At 38.5% G+C, this 26,436-nt stretch overlaps 2 protein-coding genes across 11 annotated transcripts in view, besides 1 other annotated feature; one reads left to right on the forward strand and one right to left on the reverse strand.

The window, feature by feature from the left end:
• EFR3A (EFR3 homolog A) overlaps positions 1-9,322 on the forward strand; it is a 109,550-nt gene extending 100,228 nt beyond the window's left edge. For all 10 annotated transcript variants that reach the window (NR_136615.2, NR_136616.2, NM_001323555.2 and 7 more), the window contains one exon: positions 6,470-9,322. Coding sequence is in view for 8 of the 10 variants with exons in the window: in NM_001323555.2 (NP_001310484.1) it covers positions 6,470-6,575 (106 nt within the window). In the remaining 2 variants the exon portion in view is untranslated. The remainder of the gene's footprint in view (positions 1-6,469) is intronic.
• The window catches only part of OC90 (otoconin 90), a 35,167-nt gene continuing 28,626 nt past the window's right edge, over positions 19,896-26,436 (reverse strand). Inside the window, exons 13-14 of the mRNA NM_001080399.3 lie at positions 24,753-24,859; positions 19,896-20,456 (exon numbers count right to left, since the gene is read on the reverse strand). Of these exons, the coding sequence (NP_001073868.2) occupies positions 20,161-20,456; positions 24,753-24,859 (403 nt within the window). The 3' untranslated portion in view covers positions 19,896-20,160. The remainder of the gene's footprint in view (positions 20,457-24,752; positions 24,860-26,436) is intronic.
• Positions 20,284-21,483: an enhancer, noted in NCBI's record as "MED14-independent group 3 enhancer chr8:133036851-133038050 (GRCh37/hg19 assembly coordinates)". NCBI's record gives its function as "activates an origin of replication core promoter dependent on BRD2, BRD4, P300/CBP and CDK7 cofactors, and independent of MED14, by STARR-seq in HCT116 cells {active_cell/tissue: HCT116}" and the evidence as "EXISTENCE:reporter gene assay evidence [ECO:0000049][PMID:35650434]".

Below are 26,436 nucleotides of genomic sequence, written 5' to 3' on the forward strand. Positions count from 1 at the left end.
GAGCAGTGGGCAAGTGAACATTATTGTCTGAGCTCCGCTTCCTGTCAGATCAGCGCGGCATTAGATTCTCATAGGAGCAGGAACCCTATTGTGAACTGCTCATGCAAGGGATCTAGGTTGCATGCGCCTTATGGGAATCTAATGCCTGATGATCTGAGGTGGATCAATTTCATCCTGAAATCATCCCCCCAGTCCCCATCCTTGGAAAAACTGTCTTCCACAAAACTGGTCCCTGGTGCCAAAAAGGTCGGCGACTGTTGTGCTAGACTTAGGATTCAATTAAAATTGCTGGGTGTGGGCATTTACTTCTTTGATGACTAAATGTCAAACATTTAATAGTAAATGTCTACTGTGTACTTGATCTTATGCTACATGGTTTATATCTATTATTTCTGCTAATCCTCACCATAGCCCTGAAAGGTAGGTAGACACTATTTTTTTGATTTTTCAGGTGAAGACACCAAGGCTTAGAGAAAAGTAAAATAATTTGCTGAAGGGCATACAGCTAATGAGTGGCAAAGTCAAAATTCAAATCCATAACTGATGTTCTTAAAAGGAATGTTGCTAGAGATCACCATATCACATTTAGTCAAACTAACATAACTATATGAATTTAATATTTTAGAATAAGTATTATAACTAATTCTGTTTCATTGGTACCACAACTACTACTAATACTTACATTCATTGAACAGTTACTACTAATAATTAACATTTTTAAACACCTATGTTGTTCTAAGCACTGTGCTAAATGTATTATTTTATTTAATATCTGCAACAGACTCTAACAAACAGATAGTGATTATTCTCATTTTACATGTTTGTAAACAGACATACATGGAAGTTAGGTAACTTATACAGGGTCACCTATTTAGGAAGCAGTAGCTCTGGAATAGCTTATGGAGAAACTAAATAGACTTTATAGAAATGTGTCTTCAGAGTTTTCAGGTCCTGTCTGGTACATTTTCTCTTGTTAATTTGCCTCACCCTAACCATCAGACAGTGGAAAGAGTTTGTATCCTCCATAAAAGAAACAGAACAACACAATATTATACTTCGCTCCCACTGTTCTTTCATTTACATTTTAACCATACCTGAGTATGGTTAAAAAAAAAAACAAGAAAGGCAAAGAAGCAGTAAAATACAGTGAGAATAAGCAGCCTCACAGATAACCCAGTTATTGGAATTAGTAGAAAAGGCCCTTAGAACACCACACACCCACACCCCCCACCCAGGCCCCACACACACACGTCAAAGAATTTAAAGGACAAGATACATATAGTTTGGAGAGAAATGTGTGTGACATTGCTTATTCTCACGATCGTCTCCTGTTTCTTTGCATTATAATTGCAAATTTTAATGTTCCTCTCATAAGAGTACTAAAACATAACTAACAAGAAGACAAAAATGCAGAAAGGATATAAGATTTGAACCATTTCAGTCAATTTAAGTGGCCTTTAGAAAACACAATGCTAGGCAAATACAGAATATAGATTCTTTTGAAGTGCACATACAACATTCACAAAATAGACAGATGTGGGACTATAGCAAGTGTAAGTAAATGTCAGGAAACTGACATGTTAAGACATCATATTGAGTATGTTCTCTTGCCACAAAAAAAAGTATAATGCATTAACACATATCTAGAAAAATTTCAAATATCTGGAAATTAAAAGACACCCATACCTCAAAGAAGAAATGACAGGACGAATTAGAAAACATTTTAAACTGAAAATACCTATCAAAGTTTTGTAAGATGAAACTAAAATCGTGCTCAGGAGCAATTTTATATCTTTAGATGCTTTTGCTTGCAAAGAAGAGAGATCTGAAAGCAGTGAATTAATGACTTTTGGTGAGACATTAGAGAAAGAAGAACAACATAAGCTAAACTAAGTATATCAGAAGTCAATGAAACAGAAAATAGGCAAACAATAGAAAATATTAACAAACCTAAAAGTTTGTTCTTTGAAATGGTTGATAAAATTGGTAAACCTCTGGTCAGTGTTAAGGAAGAAAAAGAGAGAAAACACAGATTACCAATATTACAAATAAAAAAGAATTATAGATAATAAAGGAATGTTATACACAATTTTATGACAATAAATTCAACACTTTAGATGAAATGAGCAAAAATTATTGAAAGTCAAAACTAACTAAAATTGACACAAAAAGTAGTAAAACATCCAAATAACCCTATAACTGTTGAAATAGATTTGCAGTTTAAAAGCATCCTACAAGAAAATGCATTTAACTTCACTGCTTACTTTTATCATACATTTAGGTAAGAAATAATACCAGTTTCATACATATTCAGGAAACAAAGGAGGTAGAAACATTTTCTAACTCATGAGGCCAGTATAACTTCAACACTTAAATGAGACAAGGATATTTTAAGAAAAATGAAATTATAGACAAGTACCCCTCCTGAATATAGTCACAGAAATCTTTATCAAAATGTTAGCAAATGTATAAAACTGATGATATGGCCTAAATAAATGGGGTTACTATGAGGAAAGCAAGATCAGTTTTACATTAGAAAATTGATCAGTCAGCAAAATTCACCACATTAACATAGTAAGAAAGCAAAGTTGCATGATCACACCAGTAGGAAAAAAAGCATTTGAAAAAGCTCAATGTTCATTTAAGACAAAAATTATCAGAAAATTTGGAATAGAAGGGAACTTAATCTGATAAAGAGTAATTATAAAAAAATCTATTGCTGATGTTATGTATAATGGTGAAAGTCTGATGCCTTTCACCTAAAACTGGGTCAAGGATGTCTACTCTCACCATGTCAACATTGTATTGAAAGTCTTAGGTAAGTAAAGTGAAAAAAGGAAAAATATAAAGATGAGAAAGGAAGAAATAAAACTATCTTTTCACAGATGACATGGTTGTGTATGTGGAAAATCGTAAGTAATCAAGAAAAAAAACCCTACTAGAGTTAATACATGAATTAAATGAATTTTAGTAAGGTCACAGGATTCAGGGTATTCAAGGTCAGTATTCAAAATTCAGTTGTATATCTATATATTAACAACAAACAATTGCAAGAGTAAATTTTTAAACATAGCATTAAAAAAATTAGCCATAATTTAACAGTATGTAAGATTTCTGTTATGAATATAAAACATGAATGAGAGAAATTAACACCTAAACAAAGGAGAGATATACCATGTTCATGGACTGAAGGATTAAATATTGTTTATATGCTGTTTCTTTCAAGTTGATCTGTAGCTTCAATAAAATCCCAATCAAAACCCCAACAGACTTTTTTGTAAAAACGTATAAATTGATTTTAAAATTCAGATGAAAGTACAAAGGACCTGGAGTAGCTAAACAGTTTTGAAAAGGAAAAATAAAGTTGAAGAATTTACACTGCCTAATTTCAATACTTGATTTATAAAGCCAGAGTAGTCAAGACATTATTGGTATAAGAGTACACAAAGAGATCAAGATAACAGAATGGAGAGTCCTATCAAAAACTTAAGTGATTTTTGATAAAGGAATCAAAACAATTTAATGAGGAAAAGAAAATATTTTCAACAAATGTCCTGGAACAACTAGATAAGCTAAAAGAAAAATACTAATCTCAATCCCTACCTTCCACCAAACACAAACATTAATTATTAAGTTGGGTAATCAATGTCTATGTAAAAGCTAAAATCAAAATTTCTAAAAGAAAACATAGGAAAGAGTCCTCTCAGTCTTAAAATGAGCAAAAAGATTTCTTAGGACACACAAAGTACTAAACAAAATTGGTAAATTGGTCTTCATCCAAATTAAAAACTTACCATTAAAAGACTCCAGTAAGAAAATGAAAAGGCAGACCACAAACTCAGAAAATACAGTATACACAATACCAATATCTGATAAAGAACCCCTACAACTGAAAAATAAAAAGACAATTTTCAGTGGCCAAGACAGTAGTTGTTTTACAAAAGGAATGTTTGAATCGCCAATAAGCATGTGTAAAAGTGTTTAAAATCATTCGTTAACAAGGAAATGCAAATTTAAGATACCATTTTGTGCCCAATAAAATGAGAGAATTGAATATATTCACAGAAAGATATATGTGAATGTTTATGACAGTTTTATTCATAGTTGCCAAATGTCCATTAGCACGAGAACAGACAAATGGTGATAATATAATGAAATACTATTCAGCAATAAAAAGGAACACAATTTTTGGGGTAAATCTGAAAAACATATTAAGTAACAGAAATCAGACATAAAAGAAGACAGTTTGTTGGACTGTTCATAGAGCCTGTATAGACCATTTACGTGAAGTTTAAGAACAAGCACCACTAATCTTCAGTGATGGAGATCAGAACATAGTTGTTGCATGTGGATGTATGTGTATGGGTATGTCAGAGTGGGGAGAAATTGACTGGTTAGGGACATGAAACATTTTGGGGGTGATTGAAAGTGTTCAGTATCTCTTGAACCCAGGAGGTGGAGGTTACAGTGAGCCAAGATCACACAATTGCACTCCAGCCTGGGTGACAAGAGTAAAACTCCATCTCAAAAAAAAAAAAAAAAAAAAAAAAAAAAGAAAGTGTTCATTATCTCTATTGGGCTGTGATTTACATGGGTGTGATTTACATGAGTGTATACATTTGTCAATTTTTGTCAAACAGTACCCTTAAGATCAGTTTATTTCATTCTGTGAAAATTATCCCTTAATAAAAAATTTAAGTGTATTGTAAATACTGGAACAATTGCAAAATTGTTAGTTACCAAAAATAGATATACCAGGAAAATATAAGAAAACCAACTGAATAACTTAACAATTGAGGACAGTTTGCAGTTAAAAATAATTATATGAAATTAATATCTGTGCATTTATTAATTAAAATGAAAACACTCTTAACCATGAGCTAATAAATTCAAAGAAGTATATAAGACTTACATGAAGAAACTATATATCTCTGAAATATGCTTAAGAATATTTATATAAATGGAAACATCTTATTCTTGAATAGGAAGTTAACATAGATGTCAGTTTTCTGTAGATTAAGCTATCATTTTAGTAAGATAATTTTTTTTAAGTATTTGAACAAATGATGCTAAGGTCAATGTGAAAGAATCCACATGCAAGAGCAGTCAGGAAAATGCTGTAGAAAGAAACAAGGGAGTATTTGCCTTGCTTGGTAGAAAAACATATGACAGATCTTTGGTACTTACACCAGATTGGACCTGCATATGGGTAAGTGGAAGAGAGGAAAATTCAAGTATAGAAGGTATCTGTGGTAAAGATAAGATTTCAGATTTTCAAAGAAAAGGGCAACTGTTGAGTTGATCTCATTTGGACAACTGCTGAACACTACTGACCAGCGAGGAAGGGTCGGGGGAAGTTTTCCACTTCACTTCTTTTGCCAAGGTAGACAGCTTCACTCATTGTTTAGAAAAATACATAAAAACACTAGAATTAATACAGGAGTATTTCTTGTAATCTTGATGTAGAGGGAAAGTTTTTCTTAGCATAACTAAAAAACTAAAAATTATAAGGAAATAATTGATTTTTTTTGGTAAGGCTTTTAAGCATTTGGCAACAAAAAAAGTTGAGAATTAAATAATGAATTGGAGGAAAGCATCTGTATCATATGACAAAAGGTTAGTTTCCCAAATTGATAAGAGAAAAATATCTGAGTAGGATTAGAGGCAGTGGACTTAAATAGGCAGTTTACATTTTCAAAGAAATGTAAAATGGATACTACAAAGATACTTACCATTAATAGTAACATAGAATTTAAAAATGAAAATAAGAATGAATTATCTCCTACCTCTCAGATTGGCAAAGCTGTTTTAAAAAGACTGACTATATCTAATATTTGTAACAGTGTAAAAGGCACAGTGAAATGCTGAAAGTGTAAATTGCTGGTATTCCGGCAATATGTATGTACCAAAGTCAACATTTTGAGTACACTTTGATGCAGAAATTCTACTTGTAAGACTATAAACCAAGGTGACAATCAGTCGGAATAAAATTATGTATGTATAAGAACAGACTTTTTAACATTATTTATCATGATGAAAAAATGAAAATGAACCTGCATTTGTTCTCTGGATTAAATCAAGTATGAGATATATATATATATATATATATATATATATATATATATATATAATGAAATACCATTCTGTCATCAAAAAAGATAATATCTGTATACATGAAATAATTTTTTACTAATGAAACAAAGCTCACAAGAATGGGTAGAGTATAATCGCATTTAAAATTGTATATACATATTTTCCAAGGAAAATGTCTGCTTTAGACTTAAAAACAGTTTGACACTACTGCAGTCTGTTTCCCATGCAGCCTTGTAGCTGGCCAGTAACTACAATGGCATTGATCACTGCAATTAAGGAGTCTGACTTTGATATTCGCAGATAGTAGATAGAATACTCGGTGAAATGAACAGCTTGTAAGTACACCTGCTGACAATGTATTTTTGTTCTTTTATAGTCCTCCTCCCAGTCCATCAGGAACACTGACCATTACTTCTGGGCATGCCCAATACCAATCTGTCCCAGTCTATGAGATGAAGTTTCCAGATCTGTGTGTGTACTGATCGGCGCATGAAGACCTCAGGATATGATTTGTAAAGCCTAAAAATTAAGGCCAAGCTGAGCTTTCAGGGTTTACTTAATGTGTATTAACATACTTCTTGAAAATAATGATGGAACATATCTTTAACCAAATGTTTGGCATACCATATTAGAAGTTTTGGAGCTATATATAATTTCGAGTACTTTCAAAGATAGATTTATGCCATGTTAATTTGCTTTGAGGTTCCTGTTGCCTTTTTAAGTTGAACATGTTTTGGTTTCACTTTATTCCACTGTTAAGTAGTATGTTTTAAACTTTTCACAAATGTAATGTTTTTTAAAAAGTAAGCCTTCAGAGGATTGAAACTGTATAAATTGTTTATCTCTTAAACATCTACACAGCCGCTTAGATGTAGAATTTTTGTTGTTGTTTTCTGCAAAGGCAGATACATTTAAATATATTCCTAGTCCTGGGACTGCAAAACTGTTCGGTGGCTTTTTGTCCCCATGCTTTAGATAAGCTGGGATAGGCACCTTGCTATTCAGTTACTATAATAATATGTGATAGGCATTCCTCATCTTCTTCACAATAATAGGACATCTGTTGAATAGCATTCCTCGAATATAACCCTAAAAACGCCATACTTTAAATTGTCTGGTTCTTGTAATATTGTGTTTCCTGCCAAGAGTTTGACCATTCTGCTTGAGAAGTGTAGAGCTTACTCTTGGAGTACCAAACTGTGCAATATTTTTACATCATAAGATGTATTAGTTTACAGGCTGTGCTTTGAAATTATAGTAGTATTTTGCTGTGGCTCCATTAATTAAATGAGATATATATTTAGTGCAGAAAAAAGACATTTAAAACAGCTATTAGTTCACCTGTGAAGAGTCTGTACATTTTGATTTCTATTAAGAGCACATTTATTTACATTTGTATATTATTTTAAATCCTCATAGTCAAAAAATTCTCCAGATGGACTTTTAATTTGTAAGATTTGAACTGTGACTTGTATACATCTGTTTAGAATCAATTATATTTGAAAAGCTGCCTGTGTTTTAACAGTCAAGTGTGCTAAAGTTTGTCAATTTAAGCTGCTTTTGATTTCAGCTACCAAGATCACAGGTGCACTCTACACATAACACTGACAGACCCATAACATTACATACATCTTAGTGAATTCTATCACATGGTAAAATGAACAGCTTTCTTTGTAACTCATAAAATTCTCTTAGGACATTTTTATAAAGTCACCTGTTTATAGTTCTATCTTTTCAGATTCCATTTCTTTTTACATAAAACAGCATACATATCAAAAACTGTAGCCTAGAATACAGTTTAATTTTTGGCTTTTGTTTTTGTTTAAAAAATTGCAGTGAAGAATGGGATGTTTGTGTTTATGGCTATTTGGGCACCTTTAGTAGAAACAGACAAAAGTAAGGAAACGATAATAGGACAAGCATACTTGAAAATTTCTGAATACTTAAACAAAAGCGCAACATCTTGAAAACCAGTCTAGTCATTGAAACCTATGAAATGACACTGAAAGATCCTGGGCTGCTTCTTAAATAAGTAGATCAGCAAGACTTGTTTCAGAGTGACAGTGGAGTCGTTACCGCTGGAGGACTAAAGGGCCCTGTGGCAGCTGTCACTGGAACTTTGCCTCTTGATCAGGAAAAATGCTTCACCAGTCCGTAAAGCCAAGTTGTATTTTTTTAATTGCCCTTTTTTCCTTCTGTATTTTTAAAGAAGGATGTTAATTTTTGACTATATATTTTAAAAAAATCTAAGCAGGGGGACATGCAAAAACAATCATCATCCACTTGGATGTCATTTTATAGATTAACACTGTGTGCTTTTGTATGGAAAAAATATATATAATTTAATAGTATAAAAAATAAAATATATATTCATTTGCACTTACGTGAAACACAAACTTTGCTCTACAAAATTTCGTGTTTCTTAGTGATTTTAAAATGCATGTATTGCATGTAAAGGAAAACCATTACAATTAATGTTTATCACACCTTTATCTTGGTCTTTGTTGATTTGGGTTTTGTTGGGGTTTTTGTTACTGTTTTTAAATTACAGTAGGCTTCTATATATCCTGGATTTCTGAACTGGTCTTGTTGACAAGGATTCCCAAGAAATGGATCTTTTCACTGGCTGACTCTCCCATATCTGCAAGAGATTCTGCAGGAACTGGGTGTGCACACGGTGTTGTAGCCAGTTCAGGTACTGAATATTTAGGATTTGGTGAAGTTCACTGTATTGCTATATTTTTGTAGATAAATAAAACTCAATAAATTGTTAATCATTCTCTTTTTGCTGTATAGAATTGCTTATATCACTCTTTCTTTCATGACATTGGTTAACATTTAAATGTTCCTCCTGTACTTGTGTTGTCTGTGACCGCTTATAGAGTTTTATTGTTATTGGTGTTTACCTGAATACCTATGCGTACACACACACATATTTCCTTAATACTTCTGAACTCATTATCTTTTAGAATAATAATACTACTACACTTTACCAGCAATTAACTTCTCCCTACCCAAAATGTTTTTCTTCCTGTCTGAAAATGGAACTAATTTGTCTTATTCGTGCTTATATCTGTATTAAATGCAATAAAGTTAGTTTTTGAAATGTAAAAATTCACTGTGCAATTCATATGTCAGCAATAAAACATAGATTATTTGTATATAAGTTCATTTTTATAGCTATTGTTACATTTAATTAAATTTATTCAATATTTGCTTAAATTAAAAATGAATTGCTTCTTTTGAGCCCAATAGTTCAAGGCTGCAGTGAGCTAGGATCATGCCACTATACTCCAGTCTGGGTGACAAAGCATGACCCCATCTCAAAAACAAAAACTGAAGAGCTTTAGTAAAAATCAGTATGCCAAGTGAATTCGTTCCCATGTACATTGGAAGTATCAGAATGATAACTGCTAGTCATGACAATGACAAGACGTAGTAAGGTAAAGTTCACAGTGTGTGCTTGTGAAAGTGTAGTTGCCATCTCTGTGTCAGTCTTAATGATTGTCTTTTCAACCTTACCTCCTTGTCCTATAAATTACACAAAGCAGCTCTTAAAAAAAAATATATATATATATATATATGTATATATATATATACACACACACATACTCTCAGTACCCTATCCCCACCTGATTTGCTTATTCTACCACTTACAAAGATGTGCATCATAGCCTAAATGTGGTTCAGGGACCTCCTTTGTTAGGCAACGTAGCATAGCGGTGAGGAGCTCAGGCTGTTGTTCACAAATTCAGCACCACCACTACCTAAGTGACCTTAGGCCAATGACTGAACTTTGATCCGTGAAGTTCTCATCTGTAAAGTGAGCATGGTAAGTTCTGCCCTCCGAGGTTAGCTGTGAGGAGTAAGTGAACCACTTAGAAGAGGTTCCCTGTGCCACGCCTACGTGACACAGAGTAAGCATTCAATAAATGATTAATAATCATCTTTGAGTTCACTACACTGGGACATAGGCAACTGGGCAGTCCTCAGCTCTGCAGTCTTAGGCCAGCCATTCCACATTTCTGAACCTGTTTGCATGGGTACAAAATGAGCACTGTGTTTGCTGTGCTATCCCATATACTTTCCTTCCAACTCTAACTTGCTGTGATCCTGTTACCTGTTCTCTCATCTGATAAAATTATTGATCTCAAGTGCCAAGTTCAAATGAATGAAAAAGCAGAGGCAAGGTGGAACATCAAACTCTGCCTCTTAGTTTTGCTGTATTCAGCCTTTTACCTGTACGTTGAATCAGATGCAGACTCTTACGAAGGCACTGTCTTAGCCTAGGTTTCTCTAAAGCAGAGCCTGAGACAAGGTGTACGTGGAGGTATTACTTTGGGAATTGATCTAACATGGAAGCAGAAAAAGCCGATTAAGAGGATTTCTTGATTGTCTCACTTGAGGTGCCTGGATAACCATTCCACTGGACATTCTAAGGAGTCTCATAAAAATAATCTCAAAACTTCCCAGGGGATGAAAAATTGGGAAAGCATTTATTATTTGGCTTCTGTTCATGGTTGAAGGTGGCCCTGTGGTCATTAACTCTCCCACGTTTTTGGACTGTTTGTGCTTGAGTGCTGAGCTGTTACCCCAAGTTTCCCATACCTCATTCTCAGGGAAGTCCTGTGCCAGAAGGCAGGAAGTACAGCAGTACAGCAAGCAGGCAAGCATTGCCATTCCACTTCCATGAGGCAGTCAGAGTCCGTGTGGAAATTGTTATCACAGCAGGGTCTGAAGGGATATGTGAGGATTAGAGGATGTGAAGTCAAGCAAAAGATGTCCAAGATAGCACCATCTAGTCTGGTAGTTAAGAACAAGGCTAAATCTGGGAGCATTTGGTTTATAATTTCATATGTCCCCCATCTTGCTCACTGGTTTTGGCCATAATACCTTTTGCACCGTTGTATTTGCTGACCCTTTGCTTTTCTTATCCTACCTCACCTGCATAAAGGTTACAGCTGTACACTTGTAGAATTCCTGATTCAAGAGACTTAAGGGCTGAAAGAATCTTAGAGTCAGGTTCATTCAAAGCTTATGTTTGACAGATGAGAACATTGAAATTCAGACTTAAAGCTGACAGTAGTCATTCACCAACTAGCTTTAAACTAGTAAACTTCTGATTATGACATCAACTTTTGTATATCTGAAATTAGAAATACCATTCAATTCCCTAATACCGCAAGAAAATATAAAAAGTAATCATCTCAAATATGATCATTGTAAGTCATCTAAATGAATAAAGAAATTGAAATTAGGGATCCAGCACATTCAACTCAGTGCACAGTAGGCTTCTTTAAAAAAAAATGCTTTACTGAGATATAATTCACGTACCATAAAATTCACATTTTAAAGCGTACAGTTCAGTGACTTTTAATATATTCACAATATGAAACACTGATCACCACTATCTAATCCCAGAACACTTAAATCACTCAAAAAGAAACCGCATACTCCTTACCAGACACACATTTCCCCTTCCCCACCAGGCCTTGGCAACTGCATTTCTCTAGAGACTAATGATGTTGAACATCTTTCCATGTGCTCTTTGGCCATTTGTATATCTTCTTTGGAGAAATATATATTCTGAATCTTTACTTTTTGGGGGGTTGTCTTTTTATGGCTGTAGCCTCTTGTCCCTAGTCTGCACTCTTTCCAATTTTTTATTTTGCTGCCACATACATCTTTCTGAAGTGTAGGAAGCACTACTTAAAATACTTCTCAGACTTTCCTATACACAATAGGACCCAAACTTCCTTGCCCAACATTATAGGGCTTCCATCGTCGTTATAACACCAGCCTTTCTGCTTCCTGAGGAAGTGACTCTAACATGAGTCCTGTTTTGGATGTGTTAAATTTAAGGTGCCTGGGGAGCATCCAAGTAACATATACTAGCATGAGGTTGAATATTCAGGCCTGGAATTCAGAGATTTGGTAGTGATTCAGAAGTCAAAAGCATACTGACAACAATTAAAACTGAAAATGAATGAGCGTGTCCCAAGGAAGAGAGGGTTTGTGACTTGTGAAAAGCTGCTGGCCCCACATAGACACCTGGGAACACATAGCTTTAGAAAGAGGGGCTGCAAAAGGGATCAAGAGAAAGATACCAAGAAGTTATAAGAGCTGCTTGTTCATGTGTTTGCCTGTTCCCTTTTTCAAACTATTAGGATTTGAAATCTAAAAATAGCCTAGAAACCGTATAAACTCAAAGTGGGGGAAAAAGTCTTTCTCTCCATCCATTATTGATGTATACTGTGGGGGGAGAAGTTACCATCAGAATTCTGTAATCTCAGGGAAAGTATCACCTTTAAATTCCCTTTCGGCTCTAGCTTTTTGTAATTCAGTCTACAGTGTAGTGCTATGAAGACTATTTTCACTGAGTCAGACCTGGAATAATCCTTAGAAGTCATCAAATCTAACGCCTTCACTCTGGCCTTCTGGAGCAGAACGGGACTGTCCCCTCCCTCCGCTATGCAGCCAGCAAGACGGGCCCAAGGGAAAAGACATGAAATGAACAGTGATTTAGGAAACTAAGCAGGATAGAAGTTGGTGCTTACTCCAAGACACACAGCGGGGAATGGGACATGGCGGGACTTTTAAGTTCTAGTTCAGTTAAGCACTGTCAGGATCACCTCTTAAAACATAAGTTCACTACTTCTGCTTAACAGTATTTACAGGGAGAACCATTAAAGATTGTTAAGCAGAAGTAGTGAACTTGATGTGTTTTAAAAGAACCAATATGCTCATTTCTTAGCCAGACACTCAAGGCCCTTCACAATCTAAACCTACCCTGCAGATTGTTAAGCATAAACCCTGAATTTTTTATAAGATGGTATTTTTACCAGGGATCTGGGATGCCTGAATCCTGCCTTTACAAGTCAGCCAACCAGGGTGAAATTCTTCATAAGCTGTTAAGATAAAACAAATGTACTTTAGTCCCCCATTATCTGCAGGTGATATATTCCAAGACCCCCAGTGGATGCCTGAGACCGTGGATACTACCAAACTCTATATACCACTATGTTTTTTCCTATCATACATACCTATGATAAAGTTTAATTTATAAATTAGGCACAGTAAGAGACTAACAACAATAAGCTCATAGAAAAATTATAACAATATACTTCTATACACAGAAAATAAGGGTGACGAACACAAGCGCTGCAATATTGCAGCAGTCAATCTGATAACAGTTTCTAAGTGACTAATGGGCATGTAGTGTCTACAGCACAGACATGCTAGGCAAAGGGGTGATTCACATCCTAGGTGGGATGAATTTGGGTGGTGAGAGATTTTGTCACACTACTTAGAAGAGTGCACAGTTTAAAAACTCTGAATTGTTTATTTCTAGAGTTTTCCATTTAATATTTTCAGACCTGAATTGTCCACAGGTAACTAAAACCACAAAAAGCAAAACTGCAGATAAGCGGGGGACTACTGTAAATAGAAAGCAAACTACCACTTTAAGCTGTACCTGACAGACATATTGCAAGACACCCCTTTAAAAAGCTCTCCATATTGGGAGGCCAAGGCGGGTGGATCACAAGATCAGGAGATCGAGACCATCCTGGCTAACACGGTGAAACCCCATCTCTACTAAAAATACAAAAAATTAGCCGGGTGCGGTGGTGGGCGCCTGTAGTCCCAGCTCCTCAGGAGGCTGAGGCAGGAGAATGGCCTGAACCCAGGAGGCGGAGCTTGCAGCGAGCCGAGATCATGCCACTGCACTCTGGCCTGGGCGAAAGAGCGAGACTCCGTCTCAAAAAAAAAAAAAAGCTCTCGCTCTCCATAAAGGCTTTCTAGTCCAAATACCGCTCTCCCTGGCAGGACTTTTCAGGAATCTAGACCTACTTCATTCTCAGTACCTGAGCAGCTGGTTGTTGCTGGTGAGATGTAGACCAAGGGAGGTAGAGCCAGGAGAGTGTACTGATGGGTTGAATTGGGAAGATACAGGAAAATTTTCCGAGGTTTTAGTCCAGATTAAGTTTGATGATTGGCTGTGTTATTCACTAAGGCAGAAAGAGTGGGGCAAGAGCAAGTTCATAGTGGGAAAGGATGCATCAGGCTAGGAATCAACGGGTTTGTTTTGGCCAAGTTAAGTTTCAGATGCTTACAGACTATCAAGCAAATATCCAAGTGACTATTCAAATATGTGAGTTTGGAGTCATGGAAAAGGCCAGCGTTTGTGCCGTAAATATGGAAATCAGCAGGTTACATGAAGAGAGAAGAAGAGAGTACTGATAAAGACTCTCCTTGACCAAGGAGATCAAGTCAGGCTGCTCTGAGCCCTCTTCTCAAGTAGGCCTCAGACTAGGCCTTTGAGAACTTACACTCTCACCACAAACAATTTTGTCCACTCCCCACACTAGGAGGCTTGAGCAAACACTAGTATAGCTCCTAACAGCTCAAGGGCACACCCTTAGGATAAGGACCCCAGCCCCACTTAAGTCCTTGTCTGAGAAAGCTCAATGCTGACAAAATAATTTACTCTTCATTCCAGCGAAAACCTGAGTTTAGGCCCCGACCTCCATTTTCTTAGAGCATTTACTTTACAGAACTAGCAACTATAAATCTTTTCCCTGCCCCTTTGAGATATAAATCTTCTACCACTCAGAAATGGCTCCTCACAGACCTAGGAGCCGTCTCTTTTACAGGCCAACTTTGAGGGACAGAGCTCTCCTGCCTCAGTTCCTGAGGGTGGGTAGGCTCAGGAACTGAGACAGCAGAGCTAGCTCCCTCAACGTTGCTCCAGTTTACAAAAGAGCTATCTCCCACCTTGCTCTCATTTGCAAAACTGCCTCCTGTCCTTAACATATGATAAATTTGTTTTGCCTTCAGATGACCAGCAATTAACAAACACAGATGGCTAATCACGTAGCCCAGTCCCCCTTACATCCTTCGGTACATTTCCTTTAGCATACCCCAGCCAACAAACTATGCTAAGGGGAAACTAAGAAAACAATCGGGTTTACATCTGTAACAGAAAATAAAATACTTAGGAATTATCCAGAGATGTAAAAGACCTATTTAATAAAAATTATGAGACACTGATGAAGGAAACTAAAAAAGAATCAAATAAATGGAGAAACATTCTTCAAGAATTGAAATAATTAATATTATTAAGATGTCCATAATACACAAAGTGATCTACAGATTCAATGCAATCCCTGTGCAAATCCTTATGGCATATTTTTTTTACAGAGATAGAAAAAAACATCCTAAAATTCATATGGAACCACAAAAGATCCTGGATAGCCAAAGCAATCTTGAGAAGAACAAAGCTGGAGGCATCACACTTCCTGGCTACAAAGTATATTACAAAGCTATAATAAACAAGTATGGTGTTGGCATAAAAACAGACACAAACCAGTGGAACAGAATAGAAAGTGGAGAAATAAATGCACAAACTAATGGTCAGCTGATCTTATACCAGAGTACTAAGAACACGCAATGGGGAAAGGAAACAAATGGTGTTTGGAAAACTGGATATACACATTGAAAAAATAAAGAACTTAGGGCCATATCTCACACCATACACAAAAATCAACCCAAAATGAGTTAAAGACTTAGACATAAAACTTGACACTATCCTAGAAGAAAATATATGAAAAACCTTCTTGACATTGATCTTGGCAATAATTTTTTTGGAGATGACCCAAAAACAAAGGCAACAAAAGCAGAAATAATCAAGTGGACTATGTCAAATGAAAAAGTTTCTGCATACCAAAGTAAACAACAGAGTAAAAAGACAACCTACAAAGTGTGAGAAAAAATATATTCTTAAACATTTTGGTTTGTATCCAAAATATATAAGGAATTCATATAACTCAATACTAAAAATACAAATAATCTAGTTTAAAAATTGGCTAAGGAGCTAAATAGACAGTTCTCAAAAGAAGACATTCATATGGCCAACAAAGCATATAAAACAGTGTGCAACATTCATAATCATCAGGGAAATGCAAATCAAAACCACAATGAAATATCACCTCAAATCTGTTATGGTGGTTAGTATCAAATATACAAAAAAGTGTTGGTGATGATGTGTAGAAAAGTGAACTCTTTTATACTTCTGGTGGGAATTTAAATTGGTACAGCCATTATGGAAAACAGTATAGGGATTCCTCAAAATATTAAAAATAGAACTGCTATATGACCCAGCAATCCCACTCCTCTCTATAGATATAGATATAGATAGATATAGATATCCAAAGGCTTTAAAAATAGGCTTCAAAGAGGTATCTGCACTCCTGTGTTCACTGCAGCATTATTCACAATAGTCAACATATGGAAACAACCTAAATATTTTTTGACAGATGAATGATTAAAGAAAATGTGGTGTATATATGCACAATGAAATATTCAGCTACATCCACAAAAAGAAAATCCTGCCATTTGTGACAGCATGGATGGAGCTAGAAGTCATTACGCTGAGTAAATCAAGCCAGACACAGAAAAATTCTGCACAATCTCACTTATATGTAAAATCTAAAATTCTCAAACCTGTAGAAGCAGAGAAGAGGGACTTAAGGGAGGAAAGAATGGTGTGATGTTGGTCAAAGGATACAAAGTCTCAATTGTGCAACATAAGTTCTAGAGATCTAATGTACAGCATGGGGACAGTAATTTACAATATTGTATTGTATACCTGAAAAAAGGCCTCTCACCTTTTGTTATCGCAGAGTTGAGCTGAAGTTGCCCAGAGGTCTCTCCTCTACTGCAATAGTACTGAATAAAATCTGCCTTGCCATTTTAACAAGTGTCTAGTGCAAAATTTTTCTTTTATGATGCCTAGGGCTGAGCCCTAAAGTACACTAACATTTAGAGGGTTGCTAAAGAAAGAGGAATAAGCAAAGAAGACTGAGGGAAAGTAACCAAAAAGGTAGAATGAAAACTAGTAGAATGTGTAGTCATTACTGGTAACAGGAAAATGTTGAAGAAGGAAGGAGTGGTCAGTGTGGAATTATGCTGGAAGGTTAAGATGAGAACAGACGTGTGTCCAATGGTTCAAGCAGCATATGGAGGTCATTTGTGACTTTGACAGGAACAGTTTCTGTTGAATGATGTTATGTGCCTGATTGAAAAGATGACGGGGAATGTAAACATTTTTTGAGAAGTTGTCTTATGAGAACAAATAAATAAATGGGGGGTGATATCTAAAGCAGAATGTAGAGTCAAGGGAGGGATTTTTATAGATGGGAGAATTTAGGCTGTGTTTTTACACAGATTAGAGTGATATAGAAGAGAGAGAGAGATTGATATAGAACAAAGAGGAGATATTTGCAGGAATCAAACCCTAGAGAAGGCAACAGGGCATTGTACTAGATGATAGGTGGAGAATTTGACCTTTGATAAGGAAAAGGAAAACTTACCTCATTGTAACAAGAAGGAAGAGAAAGACTATGCAGGGAATTTTGTAGTTTTGATGGCAGGAAGACGAAGGTATTCCCACTGGAAAGTTTCAATTATCTCAATAGAGTATTAGATGAGATCTAATTAGATGAGTATTAGATGAGAATTGTACTAAACAATTCTCCATGTGTCTCTTGCATTTCTGCATGTCTTGTGAGCTGAGACATTAACTACCTTTATTCTGGACTAACTTTTCAAGGATGCGGTACAGCAAACAGACAGGGAAGGTAGGGATAATGTTTCCCTTTGGCTCCATAGGCAGACATACTTATTTTCCTGTATTATAAAGATAATGTCTCCTTCTGGGATATAAGACAGGCAGTCTTAAAGCCCATTATAAAACATCGAGGTTCCCTAAATTCAGCATTCTCCTGTGTAATTAAAAGCACTGCATGTGTAGGTGTCCCCTGGCCCTCTCTGCACTGCTTCAGGTTTCAGGAAAGCAACATAAATGCTGGGACTCAGGTTACTGTCATTGCTGTAAGTAACAAAGTCCTTTGTCTCTGACCCAAGCATCTCAGGTCTTTGGCCAGCATCCATGAAACACAAACTTGTAAGGTTGTAAGTAAGGTAAAATTTCAAATTCTTCAAAGTTCTTGAGTCATCAATTGAGAGTGAGGGGGAGGCAAGGGGAGTTTGAGGGCAGAAGAGAAGATACCAAACAGTTGTCCTGGAGAGCAGAAGAGTCAACTGGTTAGGAAAAGGCTGAGCATCCATTTGAGGTTTCGTGGTTGTAAACTTGAAGTGAAATGGCTCAGCTCAGTTTCATTTTTTCCCTCCAGTCACATTCAGCTGCCTCTAGTGAAGATGTGGAGAAGGCAGATGGTCATCATACTGTGGGTGACTTAACACAGTGATAGCCACGGTGAGTGGACCCTTAGTCAATTCCTCCTTGATTAAAGGGAGGGAAGAAGGAGCCAGGCAACAATCAATTTATTACTTGCAGCAAATGCCATGGGGCATGCCTCCATCCTTGCCATCTTAGTGCACGCTGGCTGATTGCCAGCTGCTGACACCTGCATTTCTTTGCCTAAAGACTTCTCTGGCCACCAGAGCCCACTTTGCCCCCAACTGTGCAGCAGGCCAGGAGGAAATAGCACCCTCGTCAGGAGCAATGACTGATGGAAGTTTGTCTCCCTCCATCCCTCTCTCTCACTGTCTCTGCTTGTCTCTGCTTGTCTGTCTGTCTGTCTGTCTCTCTCTCTCTGTGTGTGTGTGTGTGTGTGTGTGTGTGTGTGTATTCCACTTTTTTCCTTTGGATGAGATGACTTTGAAATGTGCATCCTATCCTGGCTCCCAAAGTCTTGGATGGCACTTCTAATGGGAAGTGGTCTAGGCCCCCACAGTGGTATTTGGCTTGATAAACCACATTCATTGGCTGCCTTTCCTTTCCTTTCCTATTTCTTCACTCTCCTCACAGTGTCTTCTTCAGTTTCCAAATAAACTATGTGCCCTCAAGTCCTCGTTTAAGGGTCTACTTCTGGGACAACCCAAACTTAGGCTAGTAGTTAAGGTCATGTTGTTGAAAAGATTCCAGTGTGTTGTATTCATAAAAAAAAATATTATCACATGGTTTCCCTAGAAGATAGGGAAGGGTATCAACTGTTGGTTTGGCACCATGATCTTTTGATTACTTAAGGTGTTGCCAACCTTGGGATATTTTCATGCCATGAAAGTCAGCAAACACTGAGCTCTTTAGAAGTTCTGCTTTCCTGTCTGAGGAGAGGGAGAAAAGGAAATATCCTCTCACTACCTGATGTATGGGGGTTGAGAACCACAGATGTGATAGGAACCACAGATGTGACAGGAACCAAAGAGTTTGTGTCCCCATAGAATATTAAGGGCAGTTCTGGTAGAACATTGCCTTTTGCCAGGTACACCATAAAAGCTCAATAACTATTGGGTGGGTGAGTGGATACATGGATGGATGAATGGCATTTAAGTTTTTTTTAATCACCATAATATTAAACTGCCTATGTCAGAATGGGCACCTGCATCCCTGGAACTTCTAACCACTGAGATAAACCCTATTTTTAAAAAATGAAGTCTAGGACCCAGGACTGGGTGATCAGTGATTTCTCGTGGTGGTGGCTGTGACACAGGGCCACTCTCTTAGGCTGCCAAGTGTATTTTTTAGGGCACACACCAGAAAAGCTGCCATCTCAGTCCTCGGCATTGGTGGGTTATTGGTGGCCCACGGGTAATCTCATAAGATTGATAAAATATGCTCTCTTCTTTTTTCTTTTTTTTTTTTTTTTTAAGAAAAGGAGAAGTAGCTTTCAGTGATTAGGAAGTTGAGGTATTTTTTCCTCCATTGTCTCCATCTCACTTTTATAATCTACTCATGAGACAGTATCTAAACATGTCTTAAAAGCAAAACAATCAGAGCATGTTGATTGGAGTATTTATTGAGCTTCCACAGTGCACTAAAGGAGCATGGAGGTACCATGGTGTGCCTTCTCCAAGTGTACATTGGCTTGTGAGGTGACCACAGCTGATGAGGCATGGGCAGGGCTCACGGCCTCTGTTCCCTCCCCGCCTCTGAGTTAAAGGAAGGGAAGAAGGCTCCAAGGGACAGAGGAGGCTGAGAGATAAAGAGCTGAAGGTGGAGCAGGAGCCACGCTACTGAAGGTGTTAGCCATTTTCTCTGGGCATCTATCTTCCATGAAGAGGCCCGATCCCCAAGGGACCCAGTGACTTCCGCAGAAACCTCTTGGCTCTGCCGAGGTCCTCCTGTGGAGGGTCCTCCTCGCTGTCCTCCTCAGAGCTGGAGCCCAGGGTGGGGGCTGCGGGCACAGGGTGCAGGCTGTCTTCACAGGCTGCTGGCTGCCCAGGGCACCCGAGTCTGCTTGGGGACTTGAGGCTTTGGTTAAAGGAGGCAGAGGTCATGCACTCAGCTGCCGTCTGGTCACAGGCACAGAGCAACTTCTCACACAGGCTTTGGCCCCCACCTTAGAAGGAAAGAGCAGAGTAGAAGCCATGAGACCTCTGAGGATGGCACTGGGAGGCCCCACGGCCCTGGCCACCCCTCAGCCCTTCTCCTTCCTCCCCATCTTCCACACACCTTCAGGGTATCCACCTTATATGGCTGGTAATTTTCCAACTTTCTCCTCCTGCTGGGAATGATCCCTCTGCCAGGAATGCTGTCAATGCTCTCAACTGGTGTCTGTCAAGACTAGGCTGGCTTCCCCTCCTCCAGAAAGTTTGCCTGAGCTGCCAGGCTAAGGGAAGTGTCTTTCCTGTGGGCTCCCATGGAATCCCACTTCGTGTTTTTTTCTATCACTGCAGGTTATGTGTTAATCACATTGTATAGTCATTGTCTGTTTATGTATCCATTTTTTACTCCTGGTGTTACAGTAGGTAGATAGGCAGATATGAGCAGGGCAGGATAGGGCCCCAAAGAATATCAGGCAACTGTCAGGTGACTGTCAGGCAATTGTAAGGCAGCTGGCAACAGAGATGAGAAAATTTCCTAACAAACAAGAGATACCTTGAGCTTGTGGGCAACTTCCCAATAAAAACTTAAAATGGCGAGTTTGACTTTCCTCTGGGGACATGTCCAGGCATGCACAGTAAGGGGAAAATTGGCAGCATTTGACCCATCTATTCCCTTCTTCTGAGGGTGCTAGACCAGTAAGGGGAAATTGCCCTAACAGAGTATGCACAAAACTTCAACCAGCAAAGGGTGCCTGTGACCCTTCCTAGATACTGGCAAGTCATTGTGCATGCAGTGATTAGCTAACAGCCTGCCCCGGGGGAGGGATGAAAGGAAAAGATTGAGGGAAAAAGACAGGAAATAGTAAATCTGTAAGAGCCCTGAGCCAACCATCAGGCAGGACACTCAAATCTTTCAAGTTGCCTGCTTGGCCCCTTCCAAGTGTACTTTACTTTGCTTCAGTAAACTCTTTTTTCTGCCTTAGATGTACTTCTGTCTCTTGGCTGAATTCTTTCTCCCAAGAAGAGAAGGATCAAGGACTGCAGAGCCTGTCTGGATTTGCTGCCAGTAGCACTGCTGGACAGAGAACCCTGCTGACAGAGCAGAGTCCAAGCACCTAACTCAAACCTTGAAAAATATTTCCCAAGTTAGTGCTAAGGAAATATGTGTTAGATTTGATGGTTACTTCTTCCTTCTCTGGGCCAGAATTTCCCTATTCATCATTCATATTACCAGATAAAATATAGATGATCAGTTAAATTTGAATTTCAGTTAATACGTTTGAATGTACTTCCATTTAGGACATACTTATACAAAAAAAAGTTCATTGATTATCTGAAATTCAAATTTAACTGGGCATCATGTATTTTTATTTGCTAGATCTGGCAAACCAACCCTATTTTTTTCAATGTATGAGTTGCATGCAGTGGGAGTGGTGTGACTCAAATGAAATAATATCTTTGAAGGTTCTACACATACATAAGTTTCTACAAATATTATCCTTGTTATCTGTGGTTTTCAATGAAGCTAAGGGATTTTTTTGGCATCTAATCCTACTTTGAAATGTTCATCAACCAGATTTTTTCCTATCATATACCACAGAGGCCTTCCAAGCCTCCTAACTTGGTCTCCACGTCAGCCCCAGACATGCCAGTTGCATTTCAGCAGCAGGAAGTGACAAGAAGAGGAGGAAAATGTACCAAGTGTGAGAGCACAGTGGAGACATGCAGAGGTCCTGTTCCCCAGAGCCACTCTGTCCTTCCTCCCTGCATTTGTCTTATGATAGCACAGGCCAGGATTTGAGATGCCCTCATTTCTCATCAACTAATACCTGGCATCTGGTACAGGAGGCTATCCTTAAATCTCACAGAGGGTCAGAACTGGTTTACTGAAGCTGTGAATCAGTTCAATCTTCAGATGCAGTGTTCCTGGATTCTGTGATATTGGAGGAAGGGAGAGCAAGGCTTCAGCCCAGCAGGTGAGACCTCCTGGCATGATTGCATCATGTGACAACTCATGGGCTCTAAACCCTCCCCTGGCTCCTCATCCCCTATAGGAAAAAATGGAAATGCTTCAGTCTTGCAAATGGGTTTCTTGGGCTCATGATCTGGCACCTGTCTGTCTCCTCAACCTCACCTTGCACTACAACTGGGCCTCCCACTTCCACTTTCTGTTCCAGCAATACAGAACCACAGCTCAGTTGTCCCTACACTGCCCAGCATTCCCTAAACACCACCATTTTTCCCTTTTCCCTTTGCTTGGAATATCCATGCCCAGTATGGCCATCTGGGAATGTGGTAAATCTCATCTCACACCTCTCTTGAATTTTTCCCAAATTATCCTGTTCTCACTGCCATACTGTAGACTCAAGTGCCTTTACCCACATTCCCAGGGCCCCTGTGCTAACTGTTAGTACATACTACATGAGATTAGAATAGTTAGTCGCTTGCCTACATCACTTCCGTCCAAGCTGTGAGCAATTTGAGGCAAGGATCATGAAAGTTCATTGTTTTCCTGGTTCCTGGTGAAGGTTTGTTGGTTAAGTGGATAATAGAATGAACGGATGAATGAGTGAATGAATGAGAGAGTGATATGTAAACACAAAGCTCCTGGGATGTGACAGACATACCTGATCGTACAAGGCAAGATAATATGGCAGTCCATGCACTGTGCTGAGGTTGTGTAGAGGAAGAAGAAGGGATGGAAGGTCCAGCCAGTGGGCTGCCCCAGACGAAAATGAAAATGAGAACAAACTCTTATAGGGCCTCTGTGAAATTCTAGGGCAAGTCTTTCCTTTTAAACTGCAAAGCATAAGGGAAATGCATCCACCGATATGAATGAGGAAATGGAGCTGGAGAATGCAGATAAAGTCAATTCTACAGCAAGTCTCCATTTGCTATCAGGGGCCTGCTCATGGGGATTGCAGTTTTCAGAGTGGTCCCTGCCTGAGGCCCTGAAGGGATACAGAGGAGCCTCTGGTTTCTACCATAGAGAGGAGTGGAGCTGCAGGCACGCCTTGCTCTTCAGCCAGGGCCAGTCCCCCATTTTAAAATAGTATTCCTCAAGTCTTCCTTGGGAAAAGGACTCTGTTTCTTAGAAAAAGAAAAAATTTACTTGGAAACTCACTGGTGTGGTGAAGAATCAGCTTTAGTTCTGAAATGATATGGTTTTACAATTCAAATCTCAGTTCTCCCACTTATTTCTAACTGTGTGATCTTGGGCCTCAGTTGCCTTACCTGCTAAATGGGAAGAATAATAGTGCTACCTCGGGATACTGTTTTGAGGATTAATTCTGTTAACATACATTAAGAGCTGAGAATCAGTAAGCTTGGGCTATTTACGTTAGTCCCAGCCTGCTCGTCACCGGCCCTGTGACTTAGGCAGCTCACCCCCTTGACAGTGAATCTCCTCATCAGTGGAAGAGGTATGATAATACGTGCCTCAACATTAAGAAGAGTATTGGTCGGGCATGGTAGCTCATGCCTGTAATCATAGCACTTTGGGAGGCCGAGGTGGGCAGATCACAAGGTCAGGAGATAGAGACCATCCTGGCCAACATGGTGAAACCCCGTCTCTACTAAAAATACAAAAATTAGCTGGACATGGTGGCACATGCCTGTAATCCCAGCTACTTGGGAGGCTGAGGGAGGAGAATCGCTGGAATCAGGGGGTTAGAGGTTGCAGTGAGCCAAGATTGTACCGCTGTACTCCAGCCTGGTGGCCGAGTGAAACACCATCAAGAAAGAAAAAGAAAAAGAAAGAAAGAAAAGAAAGAAAGAAAGAAAGAAAGAAAGAAAGAAAGAAAGGAAGGAAGGAAGGAAGGAAGGAAGGAAGGAAGGAGGGAAGGAGGGAAGGAGGAAGGAAGGAAGGAAGGAAAGAAAGGAAGGAAGGAAGAAAGAAAGAAAGAGAGACAGAAAGAAAGAAAGAGAAAGAAAGAAAGAGAGACAGAAAGAAAGAAAGAAAGAGAAAGAAAGAAAGGAAGGAAGAAAGGAAGAGAGAGATAGAGAGAAAGAAAGAAAGAGAGGAAGAAAGAAGAAGGAAAGAAAGAAAGAAAGAAAGAAAAAGAAAGAAAGAAAGAAAAGGAAAGAAGGAAAGAGGAAGGAAGGAAGGGAAGGAAGGAAAAGAAAGAAAGAAAAGGAAAGAAGGAAAGAGGAAGGAAGGAAGGAAGGGAAGGAAGGAAGGAAAAGAAAGAAAGAAGAAAAGAGTATTAAGTCACAGTTAAGTGCTTGGGAAACCATCCACAAGTCTGAGCTACAGTCACGATGCTGACCTCAATGAAATAATAACTCAATGTGCAACCAACAGCACTTACACTTGGGCGTATGATCCACACACACCACCGGTGACCAAGGAAGCCTCTCAAGCAGGCAGCCCAGCCTTCTCACTTGCTCTAGGCAGCAGTGATGGGACAAGCAGCACCTAAGACCAAGGAAAACCCTTTACTTCTCAGAGCTCCTGGCTTCCCTAGGAACCCCCTCAAGCACAGCCTGCTTCTCCCACATACCCTATAGTAGTGAGGGAAGCCAGTGCCTCCTTTCCAGTGCACACAGGGCTGACTCATATACACACCAAGGGCCGTCGTGTATGGTTATTCGGGTTGTATACTGCACAAAGGCCACGTCTAAGGCGGCATCACTTATATTGTATGCATCTTATTATTTAAAAACATTATTTTTGATTTTTATTGTAACTGTTCATGGCAAAGATAGGTTATTTACATATTTATTTAAACGATTTTCTAACAGATGGAAATAGAGTCTTAAGGAAGGGGTACCCTTTTAAATTTATGCAAAGGTACCATATGGGCTAGCAGTAAGCTTACTCCCTCCAATCTTTGACACAGAGGAGTTAATCTCACATCCACAGTGCACTGTCATTTGTCCCTAGCCTTAAAAAAGAGCAGAGTAACCATCCTGAGCATAAATAAAGAACTGCATCTAGAAAAGTGTCCAGCATAGATCAGGACCTCGTAAATACATGAAAATGAGTCAATGTCTTCTTTGTATATCCACCCATCTTGGCTGATACGGCCTCACAATATCCAGTGTCCCCCCTTGCCAGGTGGACATCCTTAAGAAACTTATGATGACTTCAGCCAATAGGGAGCTACAGTTGCTACCCAAATACTCCCTTTTCAACTTTTCCCTTTCTTTTAATAACTCTCACTTTGTCTGGGAGGCCACAGCTCCAGCAGGGATAAGTCGTAGGCTCTTGTGGCTTTTTTATTGCACCTCTTCTCAACCAATTATCTGCTTATTAACTTTTCCGCATTGCTAGCAATCAGAGGAACAATCCACCTTGTATGCTCACATAGCCACTGGCTAGAGTTCAGCGTCTACCTCCTTCAGCTATTAGCACAAAAGAGACACACAATCTTGTGTGTGTATTTGGCAGGGATGGGTGGGGATGGATACTTGATATAATACTTAAAATCTAAAGTCAGTGAGTGGATCAGAAATCATATATAAATCAAAATACTCATAAAATCACTGAAATTGTCCATCATGTACAGTATATGTGGTCTTGAAAATAAATTCTTATAAAAAAATTATATCAGTTTGACTAACTTTTCCTTAGTGAAGAGTTTTCTCCTGTTGGCCTCAAGTTTTTCAATTTCTTTCTGCAGATATGAAGTAGCCATATCATAACTTACCTGCCCAACTGGTCAAATTTTATATTTTTGTGAAATATGGTCAGTTATCAGGAAACACCTTCAAAATCATCCCCACTTTTTCCCAAGGGGTTCAACAGAATACAGAAACTGCTACTGGCTGTTTCTATCTGTTGCCTTGTCTCATTGAGGGCTATGTACTCAAAAACCTTGACACTATTTAAATTGTCCTCTGTCATGGAGAGCAGCAGGCATGCGGTTGAACCTCAGAATGTAAACATGCTTATGACTGCACAGTGTGACATCACCTTTGCTAGAGTGAAAACTTCTTTAGGGTCCGCTGGTGGGAGGTAAGTTTTGAAGGCTGACTGTGCAACAGAGCCTG

This window comes from Homo sapiens, chromosome 8, assembly GCF_000001405.40.
Source record: "Homo sapiens chromosome 8, GRCh38.p14 Primary Assembly".
NCBI lineage: Eukaryota > Metazoa > Chordata > Mammalia > Primates > Hominidae > Homo > Homo sapiens.